General features: G+C 44.2%; 1 pseudogene; it reads right to left on the reverse strand.

Annotated features, from left to right (window-relative positions):
• On the reverse strand, positions 1-3296 carry PMS2P10 (PMS1 homolog 2, mismatch repair system component pseudogene 10; annotated as a pseudogene).

Here is a 10862-nt window from a genome sequence, read left to right on the forward strand (position 1 = left end):
GGTACGGTGGCTCGTGCCTGTAATTCCAGCACTTTGGGAGGCCAAGGAGGGCAGATCACTTGAGGCCTGGAGTTCCAGACCAGCCTGGGCAACATGGCAAAACCCCATCTCTACTAAAAATACAAAAATTAGCCAGGAGTGGTGGTGCACGCTATAGTCCCAGCTCTTCAGGAGGCTGAGTCACGAAAGTCACTTGAACCTGGGAGGCAGAGACTGCAGTGAGCTGAGACTGTGCCACTGCACTCCAGCCTGGGTGACAGAGTGCGACTCTGTCTAAAAAAAAAAAAAATATATATATATACATATATATATATATATATGTATATATATGTATATATGTGTATATATATGTATATATGTATATATGTATATATGTATATATGTATATATGTATATATGTATATATGTATATATATGTATATATGTATATATATGTATATATATATGTATATATGTATATATATGTATATATATGTATATATGTATATATATGTATATATATGTGTGTGTGCATGTAATTATTTATAAAAATTTAGTATCTGTGCTGTAATTAAATAGTGCTTTGGTGAAATGTTTCCCTAAAAATTGATAATGAAAACCAATGGTAACTATCATTTATTATCTATATGTTATGTTCAAATTGAGAAGTTACTGTTTTAATAAGGGTAACCAATTTTTTAAACAATACTATTTGCTTCATTTCATTCATTTATTGCTCACATTTCAGAAGTACTAGGACTTAGATTGGCAGTGAGACAAAACAGAATTCAGAAGCTAGAAGCTGAGATATTGAGATAGAAAATTGTAAATAATAATGATTCCAATTAATTTTCAGAGAGGTTTTTCTAAGGGGTCAAGTGAATGGATAAAAATATTTTCTCACCTCAGTGCACAAAGTGAGCTCAGAGCTTTCCCCCGAAAGCCAAAAGTTTCAACCCGAGTTAGGTCGGCAAACTCTTGAATCTTAGATGTGTGATGTTTCAGAGCTGAAAGAGACTGTAAAGTAAGGACTAAGATATCTCAAGTGCTATAACAACAAATATACATGATATCTAGTAACTGGCTTTAAAAAACTGTTTTTGTGTTTCCCAAGACAGTGTTACTCAAAATTCTAAGACATGTGGCCCAATTATTTTGTAATAGGATTAGAAAGTTAACTTACTTAAGCCTTCGAAGTTTTCTTCTTCTACCCCACATCCATTGCCTGAAACTTCAATGAGATCCATTCCATAGTCCTTAAGCTTTAGATCTAGAAAGTTTAAAATATTTATATATTTATTAAAAATGGACCCACGCTATCAGTTTTTATATTGATATTATTTATAACGTGCAAATTTAAGTGTCGTAACTATACCTTTAGTTAAACATACTAGTGTCATTTTGTATATTTCATTTTTATAAAGTTCTTTCTGGCCATTTACTAGCCCAGATTAAATAGTTTAGCATTTTCTTTCTTTCCTCTTTTTTTTTTTTTTTTCCTTACACTAGTCAAGTGAAGCAGTTGGAGTGGAGAAGGAACAAAAAAATCTGTAACTGGTTGTGATCAATTAGTTGTAAAGACCGTTGCACTTTGACCAGCCTTTTCCTTTGAAAGAAATAATTTTAACATACCCAGTAAGGAGAACGGGGGCCGGGCGCAGTGGTTCATGCCTGTAATCCCAGCACTTTGGGAGACCAAAGCGAGCGGATCACCTGAGGTCAGTAGTTCGAGACCAGCCTGACCAACGTAGAGAAACTCTATCTCTACTAAAAATACAAAATTAGCCAGGCGTGGTGGTGCATGCCTGTAATCCCAGCTACTTGTGAGGCTGAGGCAGGAGAATCGCTTGAACCTGGGAGGTGGAGGTTGCAGTGAGTTGATGATCGTGCCATTGCACCGCAGCCTCGGCAACAAGAGCAAAACTCTATCTCAAAAAAAAAAAAAAAGAAAAAAAAAACAGAACTGGTTCTGGAATCAGACTTCCTAGATTCTATTTTATTAGCTTTATAATCTCAAAAAAAGGAAATTTACTGTCCCTTAATTTCCTCAACTGTAAAATGGAGGTAATAAGTTCTATCTCATAAAGTTATTTGGCAGATTAATAATTTTTTTTTAATTTTGTCATTTTCTTTTTTTTCTTTCCTTTTTTTTTTTTTTTTTTTAATTTTTTGAGATGGACTTTTGCTCTTGTCACCCAGGCTGGAATGCAGTGGCACAATCGATCTTGGCTCACTGCAACCTCCACCTCCCAGGTTTAAGCAATTCTCCTCCCTCAGCCTTCTGAGGAGCTGAGATTACAGCCATGCACCATCACATCTGGCTAATTTTTGTATTTTTAGTAGAGACAGGGTTTTACCACGTTGGTTAGGCTGGTCTTGAACTCCTGACCTCAAAGCATCAGCCCCCCTCAGCCTCCCAAAGTGCTGGGATTACAGATGTGAGCCACTACTCCAGGATTTATTTTATTTTATTTTATTTTATTTTTTTGAGACAGAGTCTTGCTCTGTCCCCAGGCTGGCGTGCAGTGGCACAATCTCGGTTCACTGCAACCTCCACCTCCCAAATTTAAACAATTCTCATTCCTGAGCCTCCCCAGTAGCTGGGATTACAGGCTTCTGCCACCAGGTCTGGCTAATTTTTGTATTTTTAGTAGAGACAGAGTTTCACCATTTTGGACAGGCTGGTCTCGAATTCCTGACCTCAGGTATCCACCCGCCTTGGCCTCCCAAAGTGCTGGGATTACAGGCGTGAGCCACCACACCCGGCCTGCTTTATTTTTTAATAGAGACGAGGTCTCCCCATGTTGGCCAGGTTGGTCTTGAACTCTTGGCTTCAAGCAATCCCCCCACCTCAGCCTCTCAAAGGGCTAGGATTACAGGCGTCAGACACCACGCCCAGCTATTCTGCAAATTAAATGAGATATTTCTGTGCAATTCTTAGCATAACACCTGCCTGGCACACCATAAGAACACAAGAAAAGCTGTCGTTATTATTATTACTACCTAGCTAAGTACTAGGCACATAATAGGTGCTAACTTTAACTTAAAAATAATAGTTTATTACTACATCAACACTTGATAGTCTTATTTCAATAACAAATGTTTCTTGACTACAACAACATTCACTGATCATTTCTTGTGGCTTAAAACTCTCCCAAACTTACCAATATTAGTGGCACCAGCATCCAGACTGTTTCCTACTATCTTCTTCACCGCAGTGCTTAGACTCAGTACCACCGGCCCAGAGCAAATCTGATGGACTGACTTCCGATCAATAGGTTTGATGGCCTTAGCAGGTTCTGTACTAAAGAAATCAGTTACAAGAAACAAAGCAAGTATTCAGCTATATATTTTCATCCTGATTTTAACTGTGGGAAATGACTCAACACTGCAAATAGTTTATGGGTCTAATCTATTCATTTATTATATTAACAAATACATTTATTATATCCAGAAATGGAAACATTGTTTTACAATCCTTAAACAAGTACCCAAAATACTTCTGGATAGACACTTCAAATTCAACACATCCTTACTATCTAGTATCCACATGGAGAAAACATACATTGTATCTCTCAAATTACCAAAATCTTTGGCAATAATGGTGTCTTCTTTCTTGAAAACTGAAAGCATGGCCGGTGCGGTGGCTCATGCCTGTAATCCCAGCAATTTGGGACACAGAGGCAGGTGGATCACTTGAGATCAGGAGTTTGAGACCAGCCTGGCCAACGTCGTGAAACCCTGTCTCTACCAAAAATACAAAAAATTAGCCAGGCATGGTGGTGGGCGCCTGTAATCCCAGCTACTTGGGAGGCTGAGGCAGAAGAATCACTTAAACCTGGGAGGCGGAGGTTGCAGTGAGCTGAGATTGCAGCATTGCACCCTAGGCTGGGCAATGAGCAAAAAAAAAAAGTAAAAGCAACATAATTTCCCACATAATTAGAAAAACCAACAGTATGCTGGGAAATACACAATGTTTAAGTCAAAATCATCTCAGAAATTGGATACCAGTTATATAACTATTCCTTATACACAGTTGCCTTTGATACCCTACTCCAAATTGAAGCTGCCAGCTGCTGTCTTAGCAAAGACCCTCAAAGTTCTTGCTGTACTTGTTTTAAGAGGTTTTTTTTTTTTTTTTTTTTTTTGAGACGGATTCTTGCTCTGTCGCCCTGTCGCCCAGGCTGGAGTGCAGTGGCACGATCTTAGCTCACTGCAAGCTCTGCCTCCCGGGTTCACACCATTCTCCTGCCTCAGCCTCCTGAGTGGCTGGGACTACAGGCGCCCACCACCATGCCCAGCTAATTTTTTGTATTTTTAGTAGAGACAGGGTTCCACCGTTTTAGCCAGGATGGTCTCGATCTCCTGACTTCGTGATCCGCCCGCCTCAGCCTCCCAAAGTGCTGGGATTACAGGCGTGAGCCACCATGCCCAGCCCACTTTAAGAGTTTTATAACGGTTTCATTTCCCCTTATTCCCTGCTCCAACCCATCCTCCACTCTATCACCAGAGCTATTTTTGAAATCACGAATCTGGTCAAATAATTTTTCTGCTTGAAAAATTACTAGTGCCCCACTTCCTACTATATGAAACTTAAAATCTAGTCATCACTGGGCCCCAAACTACCTTCTTTTCAGAATCTCTCTGATCCTTTCCCTTCATCAAGTCCCCTACATTATTATTATTATTATTATTATTATTATTATTATTATTATTATTATTATTTGAGACAGAGTCTCACCCTGTCACCTGGGCTAGAGTGCAATGGCATGATCTCGGCTCACTGCAACCTCCACCTCCCAAGTTCAAGTGATTCTCCTGTCTCAGCCTCCCAAGTTGCTGGGATTATAGGCATCCACCATTACACTCAGCTAATTTTTGTGTTTTTAGTAGAGATGGGGTTTCACCATGTTGGCCAGGCTGGTTTCTAACTCCTGACCTCAGGTGATCTGCCCGCCTTGGCCTTCCAAAGCACTAGGATTACAGGTGTGAGCCACCGCAACTGGCCGTCCCCTATATTGCAGCACAGTGAACAACTGTTTCCTGAACATCACAAGCTCTCTTAGACACTACAGTGTATAAGCAGGTCTCTGTCTAAACTGCTCTCCTCTTGCCCCTCTGCCCAACCAATGTCTGCTCATCCAAAGAATGTATCCCGTGTGTTCATTAACTTAGCAAGTTCCCAGTAAACAGTTTAATTGATCACTCGTTAAGAGAAGGCGGGAAACCTCCATGAAAAGAGAAATCAGTGGGTATTTCCTACAGCATTTAACACATCGTAGGCCTTCAATAAACCCTTGTGAAATAAACAAACCTCTTTACTCTTCATTCTATGTTGCTAAGAATCTCACCTAAGTCTGTCTACCATGTGAAACTGCAGATGACCTCACAGAAAATGGAAAGAAGTATCTCTAAAAATAAGTTTATTTGGCAACACACTACAGGCTACAGGTTCACTTCTGATTTTTTTTCTTTTTTTTTTTTGAGATGGAGTCTTGCTGTGTTTACCCAAGACATGTTTTAGACTGTAAATTGGAGGCTGAAAAACATCATAACATCACTTTTGCCCTACTCAATGACTATCCTGTTACTAAGGTTGGGCCAAAATTAAAGGGGGGGTCATAGGCCCCCACCTCTTTTTTTATTTTCAGACAGGGTCTCCCTCCGCTGTCCAGGCTGGAGTGCAGGGGCGCAATCATAGCTCACTGCAGCCTTGACCTCCCAGGCTCAAGCAATCCTCCTGCTTCAGCCTCCCAAGTAGCTGGGACATGGGCATGCATCATCACAGCTGGCTAATTAAAAACATTTTTTTTGTTGAGACGGAGTCTCGCTCTGTTGTCCAGGCTGGAGTGGAGTGGTGCGCTCTCGGCTCACTGCAACCTCTGCCTCCTGGGTTCAAGCAATTCTCCTGCCTCAGCCTCCTGAGTACCTGGGATTACAGGTGCCCAACACCACACCTGGCTAATTTTTTGTATTTTAGTAGAGACAGGATTTCACCATGTTGCCCAGGCTGGTCTCAAACTCCTCAGCTCAGGCAACCCGCCTGCCTTGGCCTCCCAAAGTGCTAGGATTACAGGCATGAGTGACCATGCCCAGCCTAAAAACTTTTTTTTAAGGGATGGGATCTTGCTAGGCTGCCCAGGCTGGTCTTGAAGTCCTGGCCTCAAGCAATCCTCCCACCTTGGCCTCCCAAAGTTCTAGGATTACAGGCGTGAGCCACCATGCCTGGCTGATCCTCACCTATTTTTTTGTTGTTGTTTGAGACAGGGTCTATCTCCATCTCCTCGGCTGGAGTGCAGTGGCTTGATCATGGCTCACTCCAGCCTCAACCTCCTGGGCTCAAGCAATGCTACCACTTCAGCCTCCCGAGTGGCTGCGACTACAGGTGTGCACCAGCACACCCTGCTAATTTGTGTATTTTTTGTAGAGATGAGGTCTTGCTATGTTGCCCAGGCTAGTTTCAAACTCCTGGCCTCAGTCAATCCTCCCACCTTGGCCTCCCAAAGTGCTGGGATTATAGGTGTGAGCCACCACCTCTGGCCAGCTCCCACCTGTTGATCAAAGGAGCATCAAAGAATTTGCAGCCTCCAGAAGGAGGTCATTTCCTGCCTCTGAGTCTCAGTTTCCACATCTATGAAATAAAGTTAATGATCCTTCACTCCAGGGTTGTCGTGAAGGCTAAATTAAGTTGTATTTGGAAAAATATGTGGGGCACAGTAGGTGTGTTTCTCACACCCAGAGTCAGAGTGTTTAGCAGAGGGTTAGTAGTTGCCTCCAGGGCATGAAGGGCTCTTCCTGACCCTAAGTGTGAGGAACGCTTTGGGTTAAAAGATTGTACTTTTCTGCGTTCAGCTGAAAGGTGGAGGGCTCAGTGAGGTGGCTCACACCTGTAATTCCAATGCTTTGGGAGGCCGAGGTGGGAGGATCACTTGAGCCCAGGAGTTTGAGAGCAGCTTAAACAACACAGTAAGACCTTGTTTCTACACACACACACACACACACACACACACACACACACACAATTAGCCAGGCGTGGTGGCATGCGCCTGTAGTTCCAGCTACTTGGGAGGCTGAGGTGGGTGGATTGCTTGAGGCAAGGAGTTTGAGACAAGCCTGGTCAACATAGTGACACCCCATCATCCCCCAAAATCATTTTTCTTTGTTTTAAGGCAGAGCCTCACTCTATTGCCCAGGCTGGAGTGCAGTGGTGTGATCTCACCTCCTTGCAACCTCTGCCTCCCGGGTTCAAGCGATTCTTGTGTCTCAGCCTCCTGAGTAGCTAGGATTACAGGTGTGCACCACCATGCCTGGCTAATTTTTGTATTTTTAGCGGAGATGGGGTTTCGCCGTGTTGGTCAGGCTGGTCTTCAACTCCTGGCCTCAAGTGATCCGTCTGCCTTGGCCTCCCAAAGTGCTGGGATTACAGGTGTGAGCCACTGTGCCCAGCCACAATAAATCATTTTTTAAAGGTTAAATTTAACCTCATTTAAGTAATACATATAAGTCTCATCGAATAATTGAAGCCAGTTTGTGAGGTAAAGTCTATTATTATGTGCATTTTAATTCTTAGCGTTTAACTAAAGCCTCATAAGTACAAATAAAAACAGGACTTGCTATAACAGGTTGCCACCTATTTTCTTTAAAGATGACGAGCAGCATCTTATTTGCGTTAACACAAGTCATCCACATAACAAATATAGATAAGAAAAGTGGCCAGGTGTGGTGGCTCATGCCTCTAATCCTAGTACTTTGGGAGGCCGAGGCAGACAGATCACTTGAGGTCAGGAGTTCGAGACCAGCCTGGGCAATATGGTGAAACCCCATCTCTATCAAAAATACAAATATTAGCCCGGCATGGTGGTGGGCGCCTGTAATCCCAGCTACTTGGGAGGCTGAGGCAGGAGAATTGCTTGAACCTGGAAGGCGAAGTTTGCAGTGAGCCAAGATCATGCCACTGCACTCCAGCCTGGGTGACAGAGCGAGACTCTGTCTCGAAAAAAGAAAAAAGAAAAGAAAAGTAAGGCACTTAGAGGGTAAGTGGCTTCACTCGGTATTAAGTAGGGGAGTGTGGATTTGAGCCAAGCTGTGGGTTCAAACCACATCAACACCTGCTATGCCTGACTGCGTCTCCACGCTGCTGGGAAGGTTGACTGAATCTGCCACTACCTCCCTGGGGTGCATGTGCTTACCAAACCATTGCATTATGTAAAAGGCGGTACTGTAGGTTTTTAGTTTTTTAATTTTTATTTTTTTGAGATAGAGTCTCACTCTGTCACCCAGGCTGGAGTGTAGTGGCATGATCTTGGCTGACTGCAATCTCTGCCTTCCGGGTTCAAGCGATTCTCTTGCCTCAGCCTCCTGAGTAGCTGGGACTACAGGCCCACACCACCACGCCTGGCTAATTTTTGTATTTTTAGTAGAGACAGGGTTTCACCATGTTGGACATCATGGTCTCGGTCTCTTGGGCTCATTATCTGCCTGCCTCGGCCTCCCGAAGTGCTGGCATTACAGGTGTGAGCCACCGTGCCTGGCCTCTAGTGACCTCATTTTAACTTGATCACCTCTGTAAAGACTCTGGTTCCAATAAGGTCACCTCTAAGGTCTGGAGGGTCATGGCTTCAATACATGAATTAGGGGTGGGGGGCACACCATGCAGCCCATAATACTAGCGTATCTGGTTATGTTAAACTTGCTATAGCCACAGTCTCGCTGACTTGGATTATGGTGCCATGGGAAGGGCCCTTAAAGATCATCTTATCTGGTTGGGCTCAATGGCTCACGCGTGTAATTCCAGCACTTTGAGAGGCCAAGGCAAGAGGATCGCTTGTGACCAAGAGTTCAAGACCAGTCTGGGCAACAGAGCAAGATGCTATATCTACTACAGGCATGCACCTGTAGTCTCAGCTACTTGGGAGGCTGAGAGAAGAGGATTGCTTGAGCCCAGGAGGCAACAGAGAGCTGATTGTACCACTGCACCCCAGCCAAGGCAACAGAGACCTTGTCTCTAAAAAACAAAAACAGGCCGGGTGCAGTGTCTTATGCCTGTATTCCCAGCACTTTGAGAGGCAGAGGCGGGTGGATCATTTGAAGTCAGGTGTTCAAGACCAGCCTGGCAAACATGACGAAACCCTAAAATACAAAAATTAGCCGGGAGTGGTGGTGGGTGCCTGTAATCTCAGCTACTCGGGAGGCTGAGGCAGGAGAATCGCTTGAACCTGGGAGGCAGAGGTTGCAGTGAGCCGAGATGGAGCCACTGCACTGCAGCCTGGGTGACAAGAGCGAAACTCTGTCTCAAAATATTAGGAAAAAAAAAGAGAGAGAGCCTCTTTTCCATCTCCCCGCCACAGAGTTGTCTTCAGTAATTTCATTCCCTTTTTTCCTGAGGATTCACTGGGTTTCTGGGTCCCAGAGGGGAAGTTCTCTTCAAGGTACAGAAACCACGACTCCGCAGAGAACCGCAGAGAACCGCAGAGATGGCAGCATGACCAGACCACGGACAGGTGTGTAGAAGCTGCTGGGCTGAAACTTGGGCTGAACTTCCGCTGCAGGTTGACTTATTCCCATCAGCACCAAAGCCGCTGGAGGGGGTCATCCACTAGCAAATGAAGTGGGGGCACGGATTGGAGGCTGTTTCAGAAGGTCCCACTGAGCCACGGACTCAAGGCCTGGCCACAGCCCTCCCAAGCGAGGCCCAGATCATATTTCACCACGCTCAGAAAACCTTGCCAGCTCATTTCAGTCCACAGTGACTTTGCTTTCTTTAGGATCTCTCTTGCACTGCCCAACTCAGAGAATTTCAAATCTGAATGGATTCCAATGATGGAGCTAAATCAGGCCTCACCTCAGTTTTTTAATTACAATCAATAGGGCTGGGTCCCAGCATCTGTGTCTTAATGTTCCTCCATGTGATCCTCATGCTGAAAGGCTGGTATTTGAAAATCCCTTTTTTTGGGGAGTGAAGGGTTTTTTTAGAGACAGGCCTCACTCTGATGCCCAGCCTGGAATGCAGTGGTGGATCACAGCTCACTGCAGCCTCGAACTCCTGGCCGCAAGAAATCCTCCCACCTTAGCCAACCAAAGTGTTGGGATTGCAGGAGTGACCACTGTGTCCAGCCAGGAAAGCCCTTCTGTTTCACTTGAATGATATTTCTGCCGCAGACCTACAGCCATTGTTGTATTAAACGGCATCATTGCAGGAAAAGAAAAGGTGAGAGGTGACTGTTTTGCTTTTTTCTGAACATATCAGACCAAACCTGGGCTGTCTGGCACTTTTTTTTTTTTTTTTTTTTTTGAGTCGGAGTCTCACTCTGTCGCCCAGGCTGGAGTGTAGTGTCGTGATCTCGGCTCACTGGAACCTCCACCTTCCCGGTTCAAGTGATTCTCCTGCCTCAGCCCCACAAGTAGCTGGGATTACAGAAGTGCACTCCCACGCCCAGCTCATTGTTTCTGTATTTTTACAGAAAAACAGACAGGTTTCACCATGTTGGCCAGGCTGATCTCAACCTCCTCACCTCTGGTTATCTGTCGGCATCAGCTTCCAAAAGTGCTGGGATTACAAGTGTGAGCCGCCGCACCTGGTTTGCCCATTTTTTGACAATGTATCAACATCATCTAAGATGGGCACTGCCTCAGTGTAGTGTGTCTAGACAAGGTGGCCGGAACAGAGAGGAATATGCATACCAGGCTTAAAGACGGGTTAAATCAGAGCTTTTCATTCCACAAAAGAGCAATTTTAATGAGGTCAGAACATGGATGTTCTAATATTTGAAAGCCTGTTAACTAGGAGAGAGAGTAAAGTGATTTGTTGTAGGAGGACACACCCAGCTCTGACGGTTTAAAGCGTCATGAATGCAAATTTGAACTCCAGAAAAGCAGAGCTTCCT

Source organism: Homo sapiens, chromosome 7 (genome assembly GCF_000001405.40).
Source record: "Homo sapiens chromosome 7, GRCh38.p14 Primary Assembly".
NCBI lineage: Eukaryota > Metazoa > Chordata > Mammalia > Primates > Hominidae > Homo > Homo sapiens.